The sequence below is a fragment of the Homo sapiens genome, chromosome 14 (assembly GCF_000001405.40).
Source record: "Homo sapiens chromosome 14, GRCh38.p14 Primary Assembly".
NCBI classification, from domain to species: Eukaryota; Metazoa; Chordata; class Mammalia; order Primates; family Hominidae; genus Homo; species Homo sapiens.
The window spans coordinates 76345344-76363734 of NC_000014.9; the positions used below are offsets into that span (position 1 = coordinate 76345344).

General features: G+C 48.8%; 1 protein-coding gene across 2 annotated transcripts in view, besides 1 other annotated feature; it reads left to right on the forward strand.

Moving 5' to 3' along the window:
• Window positions 1–18391, forward strand: part of ESRRB (estrogen related receptor beta) — a 191061-nt gene that overhangs the window by 34567 nt on the left and 138103 nt on the right. The gene's annotated exons all lie outside the window — the stretch shown is intronic.
• Window positions 7704–7893: an enhancer, noted in NCBI's record as "active region_8768". NCBI's record gives its function as "activates an Ori minimal core promoter by ATAC-STARR-seq in GM12878 lymphoblastoid cells {active_cell/tissue: GM12878}" and the evidence as "EXISTENCE:reporter gene assay evidence [ECO:0000049][PMID:35858748]".

An 18391-nucleotide genomic window follows, 5' to 3' on the forward strand; every position in this document is an offset into this window, starting at 1 on the left:
AGAAAAAAACAAACAATCCCATCAAAAAAGTGGGCTAAGGACATGAATAGACAATTCTCAAAAGAAGATACACAAATGGCCAACAAACATGAAAAAATGCTCAACATCACTAAAGATCAGGGAAATGCAAATCAAAACCACAATGCGATACTATACCTTACTCCTGCAAGAATGGCCGTAATCAAAAAATCAAAAAACAGTAGATGTTGGCATGGATGCTGTGATCAGGAACACTTCCACACTGCTGGTGGGAATGTACACTAGTACAGCCACTATGGAAAACAGTGTGGAGATTCGTGAAAGAACTAAAAGTAGAACCACCAATTTGATCCAGCAGTCCCACTACTGGGTATCCACCCAGAGGAAAAGTGTTGTGCTTTTCAACACTTGCCCTGGCTGCTCTGTAGAGGAGGAGTTGCAGAGTAGCTTGAATAAGATCAGAGAGACCCAATTAATAAAGCCAAGACTTGAATTCAGACCTTCCGGGCTCTGTCTCACGTTTGTTTTTTAGGTAGGTACTGTGTGCCAGGCTGTGTGTCTTGCTTTCCCAGGGCTGCTGTCACAAATTGCCACACACCAGGTAGCTTCAAACAACAGAAATGGATTCTTTTGCAGTTCTGGAGGCCAGAAGTCCAAAATCAAGGTGCTGGCAGGGCCATTTGAGGAAGGATCTGTCCATGCCTCTCTCCTGGTATCCGGTGGTTGCCGGAAACGCTTGGTGTTTCTTGGCCTGTAGACATATCATTAGGGCCCGCTTTAATCTCACATGACCTCATCTTGATTACACAGGCAAAGATCCTATTTGTAAATAAGCCCGCATTCACAGAGTGGACATGGATTTTGAGGATATACTATTCAACCCAGTACATGGTCAGGGCTAAAAAGATGGAATCCATGCAGATCCTGCCCTTAAGGTGAAGGAAAGCTGCTCCTCCAACTTCTGTAATACTTGGTGGGGAACTGCTATGTGTCCTAAGTGGGAATGCTAACCCCTCTGATCGGCTGAGACGCCTACAGCCCAGCCTTCTCTAAATCCCCAAAGGCCAGACCCTGAAATGACTTCCACCCGGGGCACCCATCCCTGGCTCACCCAGGGCAACACCCTTAGTGTCCTGGGTTTGAAAGCAGGAGGCAGAGAGCATAGGGGTCTGCAGGTTGCTTTTGTCTGCTGGAGGGACTCCCCTGGGGCTAGGCCTCAAGACACCATGGGGGCTTGGTGCTGGGTGAGCTGACCTGAGCCTGGATTTCTGGCTGGGAGTGCCAGCCTCCATGCCCCTCCTTCCCATCCCTCAGGCAGCCCGGCTGTGCCCAGGCACCTCAACTGGGAGCTGCTTCTGGGGGCTGCTCCCCCACATGCCCAGACCACGGGAGCATCTGCCCCAGCTGCTCCAGACAGGCCATCCCCAGCCAAGCCAAGCCAGAGTCCTGCAAGGTCTGAGAGGTGTGCCCAGGATCCACCAGGATTCTGTAATTGGACTGCTGTTCTTTCATTTTGCCACGCCGTAGTCTGTGGATTATAGACACCACATGCTATAGATTTCCTGTCAGAGCTCATGAATCAAGCCCCACTGTCTTATTTACTGTCGGCCAGCAGCTGTGAATAACATCACCCCCAACACACATGCTCACAGGCACGTGCTTATGCAAACACTGCCCGCAGAGCCAGGCCAAGGCTGGGACCCAGATGCCACTATGGGGGCTGTAGCAGGAAGTGAGGTTTCTCTGACACCTTTGTCCCTTACCCTGGCCTCTTGGAAACAAGCAGTCTCCCTATATCACCCTGTAGGGAGACTGATGCCTTCAGATGTCATCTTTCCTCATCCACCTCAGGGTTACTGTCTGTGGGCTGAAGGAGGAGTCCAGACCCTAGACTAGGCTGTGAGCTATCAGCCTATGCCTATGTATGTGGGTAGTGGGAAAAGATTACTATTGTGCATGGACTCTGGAGGCAGAGAGATGTGGTTCAAATCCCAGCCAGGTCTCTTAGTACTTATGCAATCCTGAGCTGGTTACATGTTCCCTGAGTCTTAGTTTCCGCACCAATAAAATGGGGACAGTATTTGCTCATGAAGTGTGTGTGTGTGTGTGTGTCACACACACACACCGAGAAAACTAAATGAGAATTAAATGGGTAACACTTAGCACAGAATGGGGGGCCCAATACTCTAAGCTACTATTATGGACGCTAAAGCCAGTGCCTGCAACAGTGCATGTCATAGACACTGAAATAGCTCACTTAATCTGCCCAACAACTCTTCCAGGTAGGTATCTCTTCATTTTGCATATAAAGAACCCAAAGCTCAGAGGGGTTAAGTAATTTGTCCAAAGTTGTACAGCTAGTAAGTGATGGAGCCTGGACTCCAATCCAGTTCTGCCTGACCCCAAGGTCCAGAGCATCTCTATTACACTCACCTTGAGGTCAAGGACTCTGAGCAAACAGTTCAGGAGACTCCTCACCCCACTGAGTCACCAACCAGTCAGATCACCAATGGGCAGCAGCCACTTCCTTTCTCCTACCTGAGGGCACAGACCATGTGTGTCTAATTCACTGTTCTTTCTATATGTGACAAATGGTCAGGAAATACTTGGATGGATAGGTGGATGCTGGATAGATGGCTGTGTCCCTACAGATGTCATAAGAATGACATCTGAGTATGTTTTAAACTAAATACCTACCACACTTCCCAATGAATTTCTTTTGTTCAGTATCCTTCATTAAGTTGGTGCAAAAGTAATTGTGAGTTTTGCCATTACTTTCAATGGCAAAAACCTCAATAACTTTTGCACCAACCTAATAATTATTAGCCACTTCAAGGTGGCACAAACCTGGTAAAATCATCATTAAAATGCAAATTCCTTCACTTCAATTTAAAGAGAGATGTCAGATGTCCACAAAGGAAACACTGATAACCTTTCCCCCAGGCTCAGCACCAGACCCAGCCCTGTGGTGGGTGTCTGGGGCTTGAGACTGTTAGTTTCCATAGACTTGCAAGAGGCTGTACTTACAGGACAACAGGAGGTTTTCCAACGTGAATATTGTTTCCGTCATACCCACACAGGCTGGTTTCTTAGTATTCTTTCCTTGTGTCTAAAATGTAAGTCAGGAAAGAGGACCAGACTTCAATTTTTCTGGGCTGTCCTCCTGCTCACCTGTGCAAGACCTCAGAATCATCCTTAGCCAACTGAATTCTTAAAGCCAGTGCAGTTCCTGAGAAAACAGGTCACTCAGTCTCTCCAAGCCTCAATTTCCTAGTCCATAAAATGGGACTGAGAATACCTGTCTCACAGGGATGCTATAGAGCTTAGAGTCTTTGATTCTTCTTCTCAAATCTAGGCTGAGGGATCATATTTTATTTATTTCCTTTGTGTCTGGGCAAGTGCATAGACTGTGTTAAATAAATATGGGTGATTGCGGGGTTTTGGGGTGCCACCCGGGGCTTTGGGGACACTGCGCATAGTTACTGATATACCCCGTGTTGATGCAGGTGTTAAGTCCCCTTTTGCCTAGGAAGGTGGGTGCATCCTCTTTCTCCCCCCAAGAACAGAAACTTCCACGGAGTAATAAGGCCTGTAGGGCATATAGCATTTGAATGAGACACACCTACCCTGTGGGATGCCACTAACTTCAAGGCCTGCTCGTGAGTCATCTCCAAGCAGGCCCCCCTTCCCACTCCCCCAGAAAAGCTTTCACTAGCTTGTTCTGTGCCCAGAGGAAATGCTTCATCCTCAAATGTAATTGTGTCTGAGGAGGTGTCCTCTGTGACCAGGGGGGTCACAGAGCCAATGAGTGAGTCAGCGCATCCGGACAGAGTTAATTAAAGCAGCGAGGGCTGGCGGGGCAGCTGGAGTCCGGAGTGGCTGAGCTGCTATGGCGGGAGACAGCTCCCATCAGGAATGGGGCCCAGTGCATGCCAGGGCTCCCTCTGTGGTCTCCTGGGCTCCAAAGGGTGCAAAGCGGGGATCACGAAAGGAGGCAACAAAGGGAAAGGCAAGATCTCAGTGGCTCACACCTAACTCAATCTACATTCTGTACGCAATATCCACAAATAATCAAGAGTTTCCTGCAACATCTCTGTGTCCAGAGGGATGCACTGGTCTGGGAAGGGAGGGGTAATTCTTTTAGACTGTCCTTAACCCAAGAAGGTGTGGCCTCCTGCGAGATGCTCAAGATCTCCAGGGTCTAGAATGGTGCCTGGCACATCCTAGGCACTTAATGGACAGCTCTAGAATGAATGAATGAATGAGATTTGGACTCTCTAGTTGGGGTTTATCTGAACTACCAATAGCCTAGTGGGTGGTAAGAGAAGGATGAGAAAAAGGAAAGCAGAGAGCATCCTCGTCCACTAGAACGTAAATTCCGTAGAGGCAGGTCATTTTGTCTGGTTTTTCCCTGCTGGGTCCCCAGCACCTGGAACAGTGCCTGACTCTGAGTGCGTGCTCATTAAAGATTTGTTTAGTGATGAATGAATAGAGAAGGGAAAAAGGGAAGGAAAGACTCAGGAAAAGGAAAGAGCCTTTGCAGCTAGGAAAATACTGCTGCACTACTGGGGAAGTAGGGTCCATGTGCCTGGGGTGGGTCTAATGAAAACCAGGCTTACATTCAGTAAGATTCATCAGGCTTACTATTCTCTCTGCCACCTCACACTCCTTTTCTTGGGTACCTGTTCCTGTGGGAGACAAGTATTCTTTTAGTGAGTGATACTGGAGCGTTCTTTTCTTCCTCTACTCCCTTGCTGCCACCCACCAACCTGCCCCAACTTCTGAAATTCCCATCCTGGGGGAGGTTCCCATGAAGGGCTCCTCTACACCTACATGGAGCAACTGCCCTGAATCTCTGCTCCTCTCCCTCCCACATAAGCTGGGCTGGACAATCCAGAAGGAACCTCTACTTCTCACTAAAGCATGTCCGCCCTCAAGCCAGCCAGGGGTGTGGGTAGGGCGGACCATGTGCCTAGCTTCCTTTGATCATAGAAAACACTGTGCTGGACACAGAACAATTCAAAACAGCCCTTGCCCTCGAGAAGTTTGCTACCTTCCTAGAGAGACAGGACATATGCCTGCGAATGTTTGTACATCCAGAAAAATGTCAGCAAGCTGAAGGGGTTTGAGAAACACTTGCATGGCTGCCCAGGAGACTCAAAGTGACTGTTGCCAGGGCCCCAACCTACCAGGACGGCAGAAGCCACTAGTGTCTGTAACTTCACAATGAGGGACTGAGTCACTCCCCAGTTTTCAGATTTGGCACTTTGTTTATTTTCAAACCAGAATATCCTAAGCCAAGCAAATCAATATTCTGTCTCCCAGAGCCTGAAGCCCTCTGATGAGCCAGGTACAATGACAGCTGTATCGAGGCACTTTAGGGGGTGATTGTTGAGGGAGAGAGACCGGGTCAGGCATGACTCCCCACAAGGCTGATGGCCTCTACCTGATGCCACCATGGACCACCTGGACACAGCTTGATGGACTAGCAGGACGCAGCTTCTCCCTCTGCCCTGTCCTTCGGCAGGAATCAACAGGCAGTACATCAGTGACATGAGGCTTTGGCAGTGCTGAGTGAGGCTGGCAGGTGAGGTACAGGGGCCCTGGGCACACCTGCCTGCTGTCTGCCTTGCCTCTGCCAGATGAATACACCTTTGTCATCTTGACTGGTAACCATGGGTCTATTCAGTCAGGTAGAGGATGGTGATGCTGAGACCACAGGTTGGGGGTAGATGTCATTGAGGCCGGTGAGCTTTGCACCTGTGCATCACCTCAGTATTCCCCCAACCCTGGCCACTGTGGGGCTGGAGTGAGAAAAAGAACCTGGATGAGGGAGCACACCATCCCCATGAATGGAAAAGAATTAAAGTTAATATCATTAGAGTGGTTTCCTAGGGCAGCTATACCAAAGTACCACACACTGAGTGGCTTAAAAATAAATAAATGTATTGTCTCACTGTTCTGAAGGTTAGAAGTCCAAGATCAAGGTATGGGCAGTGCCATGCCCCCTATAAAACCCTGGGGAGGATTCTTCCTACGTCTTCCTCACTTATGGTGGTTGCTGGCAGTCACTGGTGTTCCTGGCTTGGAGCTGCAGCACTTCAGTCTCCTCTGTTGTAACATGTCTGTGTCATCCCCATGTCTTCTCCTCTTCTTATAGGGCCACTGGTTGCATTGGGTTAGGGCTTGCCCTGCTCCAGTATGGCCTCATCTTAACTTGACATCTGCAATGACCATATTTCTAAATAAGGTCACATTCTCAGGTACTGGGGGTGAGGACTTCAGCATATCTTTTCGAGGGATGCAATTCAACCCATAACAGCCATCAGTATACCACCTTCTGGGTGAAGGTGAAGGAATATTATCTCATGTATGCCACCATATGCAAAAAGCTTGTTTTCCTTTCTGTTCAGAGCATATGACCTCTTCTCACCTCTTCTCATAAACCAACAAGAAACAAGGACTGGGTGAATGTCAGTGGGGGACTCTCTATAGCTGATGAAGAGTATAAACTTCACTGGGTGCAGTGGTTCATGCCTGTAGTCACAGCTACTTGGGTGGCTGAGGCGGGAGGATCACTGGGGCCCAGGAGTTCAAGGCTGCAGGGAACTATGATGGCACTACTGCACTCGAGCCTGGGAGACAGAGTGAGACCCAGTCTCTTAAAAAAAAAAAAAAAAAAAAAAAGCAAACTCCAAGAAAGCAAGTGAACAGGTTTTTAAGTGTCCTGTTCGCTGTTGAGTCAGTGCCTGGCACAGAGTAGATTTGTTGAATGAATGGATAAGTGAATATGGTGGTTGGAGCTCCACAGGCTGGAGTGAACTGTGTGACTCAGGAAAACCACTTACCCTCCTTTACCCGCCTGACTTTTTTCGTGTGTAAAATGAGAATCAGAACAAGTACACGTAATTTACACATCATTGGGAGCATTGCATAAGAACCTATGTAAATGCCTTAACTCAGTTCCCAGCATGCAGTAAGTGTTCAGTACATGTTAATTAAATCAGAACCTGTTGGCGGCCACTGAGCAGTCTTTGAGGTTTGGGGCAGCTGCAGTAGTGATGCCAGCCTAGCAAGCGGGAACGTATCTACTCAACTCTTCTGCAGGAAAGGGTTGAGCTACCTTAACCAGGGAGCTGCTAGTGAGAAAGTGATCAAGCCTCAAGCGGACCTGGGAGACTAGATTACTAGAGAAGTATTATTACAGGGCACCGGTTGGGGGCACAGGCCCTGGAGCCAGACCCTGGGCCTTCAAATCCCAGGTTTAGCCCCAGCCAGGTGTGGGACCTCTGGCGCAGGGAAGCTCAAGTTTCTCTGACTATAAAGTGGAGACAATAATAACATCTGGCTTTCTGGTGAGGATTGGATAACAGTGCCTGGCACATGGTGAGTATTGTGTAAGTTTGATATTACTAGTGTAACTTTTCTATGTCCTCGGCCCCGGTTGCTCTGAGCTAGCTGATTGGAAAGCCCTAACCCTCGAACTCCGGGCTTTCTGGGAACGCGGGCTCTCTCCCCTCTTTCCCTCCGCCCCCACGCGCACACAGGCGAGCACCGTCCGCCCTTCCTAGTTCCCACCGCGCGCCCCTCGCTGAGCGCTCCGCACACTCTGAGATCCAGCGCGCCCTCTGGTGGCACACGGCCCCGAATCGCCGCGCTCCTGCGGGCCGCGCGCAGGGTCGCCGGGTAGGCACAGGCACGTCCCGTGGCCACGGACCTTTGCCCTCTGAGGCACCCTAGACCTTGGCTTTCTCTCTCTCCATTGCTCTTGTGAGAAAAGCTGCCTCGCTCTGCGGCCTCTCTCACGAGCGTGCCATTGTCCCGGAGAGTCCGGGAGTTGAAACAGCCCCTGGATAGAGCTGGGGAGAGGGCAGCACCCCCTTATCTTGGTGAGGTTTCAGGGCTTGCCCTCCTGGTTCTAACCTCAAAGGAGGGAGTTTAGCTAGGAGACAGCTGTTTTTACAGTCCCCAACCCCACCACTTTTTTCTCTGATGTGCTGTTGAAACCGATGGGCAGCTGAAAGGCCCTCATCTCTGCAAATCCGCCTGACTTAAGGTTCACCCTGTATGTCTTGGGTTCGCCAGCCATTACCATCCCCTAAGACTCGGGGATTACAGTTCCCGCCCTGCCTGCCTCTGTGTGGGTTTATTTAGGCCTTCCAGCCCCATCACTTCATCATCATCATCATTTATGAACCGCTAAGCATGTGCCAGGCACTGTTCTAAGTGCTTTGTGCATATAACTCATTTTATCTGGACAAGAGAAGAAACTATAAGTACAGGAGAGCCTATGAGGAAACTGAGGCACAGAGCGATTAGTGACTTGTCCAAGATCACAGATTGTAAGGGCTGGGTGTGGTGGCTCATGCCTGTAATCCCAGCACTTCAGGAGGCCAAGGCAGGAGGATCGCTTGAGCCCAGGGGTTTGAGACCAGCCTGGGCAACATAGTGAGACGCTATGTCTCACTATGTTAGTTACAAAAAAATTAAAAATTATCCAGATGTGGTGGTGTGTACTTGTGGTCCAGCTACTCAGGAGGCTGAACCCGGAGGATCACGAGCCCAGGAAGCTGAGGCTGCAGTCAGCTATGGTGGAGCCATGGAACTCCAGCCTGGGCAACAGAGCGAGACCCTGTCTCAAAATAAAAATAAAGAAAAGAAAAGAAAACTAAAAGGTCACACATTGCAGGGGTTTGAACCCTAGCAGCCTGACTCCAAGCCTATGTCAGCCCCGCTGGGTCCTGCTGCCTCCCTGCTGAGCTTTGTGTGGCTGGTCCTGCTCCCTTGCTTTGCATCCACATACCCTGACCTCTCCATCTGGAATGCCCTTCCTCACCCCCGGGAAATCTGCTTGGCCAACTCCTCTGTGAGCCCTTCCTTGGCCCCCAGGGTCCTCTACCCGCCCCCCCCCCCACCCACACTTCCACCCTCACCTCTCCATGTGCCTGTCATTAGTGTTACTTGCTTGCCCCTACCACTGGGCTGTGGGGCTGCTGACAGCAGAGGCTGTTTTCTGTTCATATTTGCTCTCTCCACTGCCTAGTACGATGCCAGGGACATGGCAAGTGCTCCTGCGATGAAGCCAGGCTCACATAGCAGCAGCCTTTTTCCAGGGACCTATCTCACCATTGCACTCTGAAGGGGGAGGACAAGTGCATTAGTCCCATTTTACAGATGTAAAGGCTGAGGTCCCGGGGGTGAGGGATTCATCCAACATTGTGACCCAAATGGGAGACACTCTTACCACAGTCCCTTGTTCTGTGCTCAGTGTCTTAGGCCAAAGGCTTCTGAGGGACCAGAATAAGGTGAGGGGCTGACCCACAAGAACCCATGGGGTCTCGGGGGTGGAAGAGTGTGCCTCATTTGTGTAGGTAGGTCCTGGGCTTTTTTTTTTTTTTTTTCTTTGAAATGAGTTTTGCTCTTGTTGCCCAGGCTGGAGTGCAATGGCTCGATCTCAGCTCACTGCAACCTCCACCACCTGGGTTCAAGAGATTCTCCTGCCTCAGCCTCCTGAGTAGCTGGAATTATAGGCATCCACCACCACGCCCGGCTAATTTTTTGTATTTTTAGTAGAGATGAACGTTCACCATGTTGGCCAGGCTGGTCTCGAACTCCTGACCTCAGGTGATCCACCCACCTCAGCCTCCCAGATTGCTGGGATTACAGGCATGAGCCACCATGCCCGGCCGGTCCTGGGCTTTATCTGCACGGGCCAAGGAGGAGAGAATTTGAAATCCGTGTTTGTTTTATTCTCTAGGGTCTCCCCTGGAAAGATGTCACCCTTTGGGTATACCTTCCTCCTCGGATGGGTCTTTTCCAGGCAGCCTTCCTTGCAGTCTGAAGCCGGGGCCAGGTGGCCAGAGGCGGTAGAGACCCAAGTAGGGCTCAGAGAAGTTAAGGACAAAGATAGGGACAGCTACCAGGGCTGGGGATGCTGCTCTATAGGGCAGCTTGGGACCCGAAATACTGAGTTTGTGTGTGTTAAGGACCCTGGCAGACTTTTACCACGCCCTTCTCCCTTTCACCACTCATGTTTCCCTCACTCCCCATTGCCCATCCACATGGTTCCCAACTTTCAAGACTCAGCCCAAGCCTCACCACTCCCTCTTGGGCCCAAGTCACTTGTTTCGTCTGCCACGTCCCCACAGTACTCCATCCAAGCCATGTCACTGAGCACTCTAGCTTGTATCAATGTGGATCATTTGCAAGACTTTCCCAGGCCAGTCATTTCTCCTGCTCTAATGGACACCACTTAAAAAGAAAAATCAGATATTCTGTCCTGTCTGGGTCCCCCTCACTGGACAGTACAATGCTGGGCAGTAATAAATGCTCAAGGGTGGCCAAGCTGCCTAACTTCTCTGAGCCTCAGTTTTCTTCTCTGTAAAGTGGGGATAATATATGTATATGTGAGACTGTATACATCAGAGCACCCAGCACAGGGTCCAACACATAGGAGGGAATCATTCGATGTTAGTTCCCCATCTTCCTCATCAACACTTTCCTGCTGCACCCTCAGCCTCCTGCTCCAATCAGAAAATGAGGCATGGTGAATAGTATTCTCTCTCACCCCACCCTGGCCCCAGGTGTCTGGTGTGCAGAGGATCAGATGACCCTCTTCCGCAATCTCTTCCCCCCAACCTTGAGGGGCTGCAGGGGACTCTCTGGGCTCCAGCCAAGTGGAGGTTGGAACTTGCTTCTTCCTTGCAATGCCCAGAGGGAGCCATGGGGAGCTGGAGGTAGAAGTTGAAGGAATGGCTGTCATTGACATGACCTGCTCCACAGCCCTTTCTCATCATCACCACAAATGGATCGGTGAATGAATGGGTGGAAGAGTCAGAGAAGGGGCTAGGGTTTCTCTCTGGGCATTTTCTGGGTTCATGAGTGATGGTGCAGAGAGCACAGGCTGACCCTCCTTACCCTTTCTCTGCCTGGCTGTGTCTACAGCAAAGCATTGACTCCTACATTGTGGTGCAGGGAGGAGCAGGTTTATGGGATGTGCTTGTCTAAGTGTTTTCTCCTATGAACCCATTTAATCTCACAATCACTCTAGGAGGCTGGTACTCTCTCTCTCCCATTTTACAGATAAGGAGACTGCGACAGAGACTTGCTCAGATTATACGACTACCCCAGAGACTCTAGCCCCAAAGCCTGTGCTCTATGTTATCCTGACTCTAGGATGACAGAACGAACATTGTCATTGAAACCCACAGTCTGATTCCTTCTAGCCCCAGCCTGCCCTTCTGGCCCATGGCCATGTGGCCCCACCAACCTCACGTGACCCCACTGACCTCACATGGCCCCATGTGTGCACCCTCTTTTTAGACCTCCCCACTCTGTGCTAACTCCAGACTCATCCTATCCTCTTGGTGCTGCCTGCCTTTCAAGGGGAGGGGGCAGGTCCCTTAGGAAATGGAGAACAAGCAATGCATGAATAAATAATCACTCCTGTCCAGCCCCATCAGCGCATGGTCCTGCAATTGTTCTGCGAGGCTGGATTCTCCTGTGGGTTTTAACTCACTCTTATTCTCTTGTCCAACTTTATGCTCCCTCACTGTCTGTCCCCCATGATTTCCATCTCTCCTGAGGAGGGAAAGGGGCCTTGTTGGGCCTTTGATGGCCACTAGGAGCTCCTCTGAGGATCCTCAGGGAAGGTTGACTCTCTCCCTGAACCCCCTCTCCTCCACATGCACCCCCTGGGGGAGGGTGTGGGCTCCTGCTGGTGCCCCTGCCAAGCTATAGCCCAGCTAATGGAGGATAATCTACTAGTATCCGCCACTCCTCCCCAATGAGGGATAATCTACTAGCATCCACCACTCCTGCCCAGTGCCACCAGAAGTATTTTTCTGGGTTCACGGGGCATGAGAGAGAAGAATCTATATCCAGAAATTTTAAGGTGCAAGGAGGAGCTCAGAAATGCACAAAAGTATTACCCAAGATGGGATTCACATTTTTTACAAACAGTGCAAATAATAAAGAGCCCTAATAAAACATTCAGAGCCTTTGACTTAGTCATTTCTCCTCGGACAGCTGATTCTAAGGAAATAATTCCAGAGAAGAAAAAGGATGCATGAGACATGAGGAGGTTCATTGCAGAATAGAAGCAGCCTACATATGGGGGAATGATGGTTAATTGACACTTTGATATGATGGTACAATGTGGGGTCATTTTCTTTCTTTTATGTATGTATATAAGTGTTTATTTATTTATAGAGATGGGGGTCTCGCTCCCTGCCTAGACTGGAGAGCAGAGGCATGATCACAGCTCACTGTAGCCTTGATCTCCTGGACTCAAATGATTCTTCTGCCTCAGTCTTCCAAGTAGCTGGTACTATGGCATGCACCACCATGCTTGGCTAAATTTTACAAACATCTTTTAGAGCTGGGGATCTTGCTACATTGCCCAGGTCGGTCTCAAATGCCTGGTCTCAGGTGATCCTCTCACCTTGGCCTCCCGAGTAGCTGGGATTACAGGTATGAGCCACACATTAAGCTGGGATCGTTTTAAATAGTGTTTATGAAAATTATGTAACAACATGGAACAGGGACATTCTAACAGGATAAAATACAAAACTACATAAAATATATGTGCAGAAGGGAATGAGCAACACTGAAATAATTTTGGTGTAAGTGAGGTGACTAGGATAGTAACTTTCTTTAAAATAAATTGCCTGTTTGAAATATTCCTGCAATTTAAAAAAAAAATTGCAGGCTGGGCACGGTGGCTCTCGCCTGTAATCCCAGCACTTTGGAAGGCTGAGGCGGGCAGATCACATGAGGTCAGGAGTTCGAGACCAGCCTGGCCAACATGGCAAAACCCCGTCTCTACTAAAAATACAAAAATTATCCAGGCGTGGTGGCGGGCGCCTGTAATCCCAGCTACTCGGGAGGCTGAGGCAGGAGAATCGCTTGAACCTGGGAGGTGGAGGTTTCAGTGAGCCAAGATTGCGCCACTGCACTCCAGCCTGGGATACGGAGCAAGACTCTGTCTCAAAAAAAAAAAAAAAGAAAGAAAGAAAGAAAGAAAGAAAGAAAGAAAGAAAGAAAGAAAGAAAGAAAGAAAGAAAGAAAGAAAGAAAGAAAGAAAGAAAGAAAAGAAAAGAAAAAGAAAAAAATGGCAATGGATGGGGCAGGGGTGGGATTAGGAGGAAGCATGAGCTGGGGTGCTGCAGGGTTTGATTTTCTCATCGGCGTGCTGGGTACATAGATATGTTCATTTAATGAAAATTCAGTTAACTGTATGCTTAGGATATGCGAACACTTCTGTATGTATACTGTACTTCAATAAAAAGTTGACAAAAGAAAAAATAAGAAAAAAGTAAGACATGGTGATCACCTTGCGTTCACTAAAACACACTGTGAACTGCAATCTGCACCATCTATGGCTAATAGATTTCCCTTCTAAAATGTTTTCTTGTTAAAAATTAGTAATGACTGTTTTTAAAAGCCCTGTTTTCTGAGATTGTTTGAAGCTGAAGATATGGATAGTAAGAAGACAGACTTAAGAGCTTAAAACATGTAGAATCTGTAAAACTTCTAAATTAGTGGCTCCCATGCTTGAGAATCTTCTCCATGACTTGAGCGCTTGTGAAAACACAGATTGCTGGTCCCCACCCGGCAAGTCTGTGGTGGGACCCGAGAATATGCATTTCTAATACTTTCCCAGGTGATACTGGCGCTGCTGGCTTTGTGGAACCCACATTGAGAACCACTGCCCTGAAATAACCTTCTAGAATACCAAGCATGTTGGTAGGGGAAGACCATTGCTGAGAAACATCGCCACATGTTCTTCCTTCTGCAAAACCGAAGCTGGTGTTAAGTTTCGATAATAATAATTCTAACATCCAGAGGACATCAGTTCCTATGATCATCTGGCACTATGATCTGTGCAGAATGAATTGATTTTAACTGACCCTACTGATGTCTTCCAAAAACTCTAGCTGAAGCTGGTATTGCTGTCGTCAGGTATGAAAGGTACATAGAGAGAAACCCATTCAAGGGTGAGGAAATGCACAAATTAGAACTATTGGCATTATATCTTTAAACACAAGTGACTGCCTTTTATAGGGGTGAAAAAACAATAAATAACATTTATTGAGCAATTACTCTATGCCAGGCACTATGCTGAGAACTTTTATCTGCCTTGTCTCATTTCATTCGCAGAAGCACCCTATTAGGTCAGTCCTATCAGTATCCCCATTGCCCAGAGAGTTGAGTAGAGTAGCTCCCCAGAAGCCCACAGCCGATACATGGGGGAGTCAGGGTTGAAGCCCAGGTCCAGAGCCAGTGCTCTTGCCCAGACAGACCCCGATGGGTACACAGTAACCTCCTCTTGGAACCACCTGAGGAAGTGGCCCACAGGGAGGAGGCAGAATCCCAGGGCTGTTGGAATGGGCAGGCCAGGGAAAGCAGAGGGCTTGTGGGAAGGGTTCGTGCAGGAGGCAGTCTTCTCGGAAGGTAAGCATGAGAAGGGAGGAAGAGGAAACAAAGTGAAGGAAAACACCCAGGAGGCAAGGCGATGTGACTCGTATTTGCTGGGACTCTTGGGAGTGAAAGAAAAGCAACTGACACAGCAGAAGCCCCAAAGGCTCACGTATCTGTTATGTCTGGGCAGATCCTGTCTTCAGGTATGGTTGGATCCAGGATCATCAGGACTCCACCTCTCCTTATTTTCTGACTTCTGTAAAGGGGCATAATAGAAAAAGAAAAGAAATAAGGCTAAAGTCAGGTTGCCAGGGTCTAGTTTTCAATTGCCCAAGTGCTCTGATGCCTCTCAGTGGGATGCCTGTGCCAGGGACTTCTCTTCCTCCCTCTCTGAGTGAGCATGGCAGGTGGAGAGTGCCCTGCTGGCTGACTGTGTCCCCAGTGCACTGTCACATTGCTCTGCTCTGAGTCCAGCGTGTTGTATGGAGGCTGATAATCCCATCCTGTGTGGGCACATCCTGGTACAGCCATGCACCTTTCTAGGGTTCCTAGTGGAACCACTGGATTTCCTCCCTCTCCATGAACTCCAAGATACTTGGGTCTCCGGAGCAGAGCAGGGATCTGGTTAGTTGTAGACAGGTGAACTGGAAGGAGAGGGAGAGGGAGAGAGAGAGACAGAGAGAGACAGAGACAGAGAGACAGCATATGAAGAGGCCAACTTTGCTGTAGCAGGCTAGAACCCATGAAATCAAGTAGGCAAGAGAGAGCACTGGGCAAGTATGCAAACCTTCAACACCTAGTGGCCCTACCGCCAGTAGAACATGACCCTGAGAATACCCTGGACACTGACCAACAGACTTCTCCTCCCTTTCCCATAAGCAGAGGTGGCAATGTAGGAGAGAGGCTCCCTCTCTCTTTAAGCATGTGTTGTTATATTTGTTGGGGCAGATATAACCCCAAGTCCATTGCCTTGCAGACTGCTTTATCAGAGGGCTCCCTCCATTAGCTAGCACTGAATGTAACAAGACTTAACAGTTGATAGATAAAGAGGCCTGTTGCTCTGCCCTACTGCTCCAAGTCTGCACACACCTGTCTACCTTTCTGGGTTGTTCCATCCTTAGCTCCAATGACATAGATTGACCTTACTCATTTCCCCCCGGCCAGACAGAGAGGAGGGATTATTCTGCCTCTGACTGTGAGCTAACAAGATCCATGAGACAATATTCAGGCAGGGCTTTGAAATGGCAAGACATCTTATACCCATGCACCTAACACATGGCTTCCACCCTGGTTGGAGGTACTTCTACCTGGTGCCTCCTGCAGGTGTTGGACAGGGAGCTTTCTCACATTGCTGGTGGTAGAATCATGAAAGAATACATTTGAGAAGCTGCCCCTGTGTTCATTATATTGAGACCATCCTACATTGGAGATGGTCCCAGCACATCGAGATGACTCGGCTGCCCAGTGGCCTGGCAGGTGGGGTCTACGACTCATGTGCTTATCCACCTGGACTGTTGATGCCATTCAAGGTGGCTGCCTTGAGATGTCCCTTATGATGGGAGGCTGGGATGTAAAGGGGACCCCAAGGTAGTCAGCTCCCCTCTGCCACAGCAGTGAGGTGAGGTGAGCTCAATTGTGAGAGATTAAATAGCCATTATCTCTCCATTACCTCCAAAGTTTCCTTTGGAGCAGAAAAAGCTAGTGTTTGGATTGTTACATATTGATGACTCTTCCCCCAAGACTAAGAAATCGAAGTAGTATACATACTTCTGAGAGTTATCTCAGCAACACCTGGTGTTACTGAAAAATGTGTAGGAGAAGGGAAGATTTCCAAGGCTGGAGTAAGTCTCAGAGGCTGAAGGAATGGCTGTTCTTTTTACACCTGTTGAAGGACTCAAGTAACAGTGGGGTGTTCTTTTGAACTGTGAAACTCCATGTCTGAATCACAGTGAAGACTCAAAACCAACCCATGGGCATCTCTCATGGATGGTCCTAACTATGTGGCCTTAGCCCTGACATTGTTGGGGACTCTATGGCTCGCCATGATGGATCAGGCATTGGGTTATGTGGTTGGGGAACTCCAGGGAAGGTGGGCACAGCATGACTGGGCTCTCAGGTGCCGTGCTGCAGTCACATTTGGGAAGATATGTTTGGTCCTCCAGGCTCTGGGGATGAGATGGAGCAGAGAGGGCAGCTTGGGAATAGGAGCCTTATGAGCTGTCACAGTAACAAGGTCAGCCACGGGTTAATGCCTCAGCTGTGCTCTGCCCTGAGTCTGGGGCTGAGTCTTACCAAATCTGAGCACAGTGTGGGTGCTGGATGGTTACAGGGAAGAAGATGACTGAGAGACAGGCTCCCCTTCTCCAGAGTTAAGGTCAGGACTTCCACTTGGGAAAGGAGTGGGTGTAACTAGTGTCTGTTGAATGTCTGCTACGTGCTAGGCACGGTGCAAAGTGCTTTCTTTACACACACTACCCTGCAGCAAGCCATTTTAGAGACTGTGGAAACATGGGCAGCGAGGTCACAGATTGTCTCAGGGTCACATTGCTAATGAAGGGCACAGCAAGGATTCGAGCTTGGGTCTGCCATACTCCAAAGCCAGTGCTCTTATTTACCAACATCAACATCCCTAGCAACCGGCTTCATACCTGATTTGAAATCCATCAGTGTATCATGATGCTGTTTGAGTTCTACCAAGCCACTCTACCCATGAGGATGAGTTTGGTCCTGGCTTGCAAGGTTGCTGCAAGACCTGCCAGCCTCATCCTGGTAGCAAAGGACACCGAACAGGAAACAAGGGTGTTTGGGCAGTTGCTAACTTTTAACTATGGCCTCCTTTGACACAGCACCAGAGCCTCCAGAAGGGTTGTTATTCTAGGCATGGGTCTGATTTGTAGTCGTGATGCTTCTTTATTCATTTGATTCCTTTAGAGAACAACTGATTCTAGAGATGCTGTTTTCATTTCCAACGCATGCTCCGGGGAGACCTAGGAGTGCCACAAAGATGTTTCCTGGGCTTCCTGGGGGTGGGGGTGAAGGACTGAGTGGGAATGGGGTGATCCCTTCTTCCCGCTTGCCTAGGTTTTTTGTTGCTTTCTACAGCAAGTTTCTATGTACAGTTTCAACTGAAGAATGACTACTCAGGGCTCTTTTTTAAAGTTTGAAAGCCATTTCTTTAAGATGATGCTTTTGAGACCCATTAGGCAAAAACATTTCTGTTTGTGGGTGAGTCACTCTCCCACAGAAGCCAAGTGCCTGGTCATTTGCAGAGTTGTTGAGGAACTAAGTCTCCATAAAGACCCATCCTCTACCCTATCCTTTGATGGTGACAGCAAGAAGTGCATCTCCTTGGTTGAATGGCTAGGTTGAGAATCCAAGGAATGAGAGGAATTGTGCATTGGTTGATGTTGGAAGAAACGAAAATAAAACCACATATTTGGTCTCATTATGGCCTTTCAAACTGGAAGAGGAAGGAATATGGTGTAACAAGCCCTCTTTATTTTGCTGAGGAATTTATTTTACCTCCAAAGGGGACCTCCTAATTTCTTGGGTGTGTTTGCAGAAATCCTTCAAGTGCACCTAGCTGGCTTCAGAACTGCTGCCCATTTGGACCTGCTCCAACCAAGCAAATTGGTCCTCATGGGGAAATTTTGCTTGGCAGTGGACGGTCTTCCTTTTCTTCACCTCCTCCTTCTTGTTCCGGCTGCCCTTCATCTTCTCCATGTCATAGAAAGTTAAAATGGACCCTTTGGCATCATTCCATAAAATCAATTGGTTTCTTCCCCAATGTTATATTCCTTTTCTCATTTTCTCCATTCAGCGCTGAGAGCACACCTCATTCCAATTGGAAAGAACTTTTCTACTGGGAATGGACACGTCTTTCTAAATACATGGACAGTGAGGAGAGGGCTGGCCCACACTGGCCTCCCAAAAGGAGTTGTTCCTAAAGTCCTCTTATCCATCAATTGGTTGGACCTACGCACATATTTCC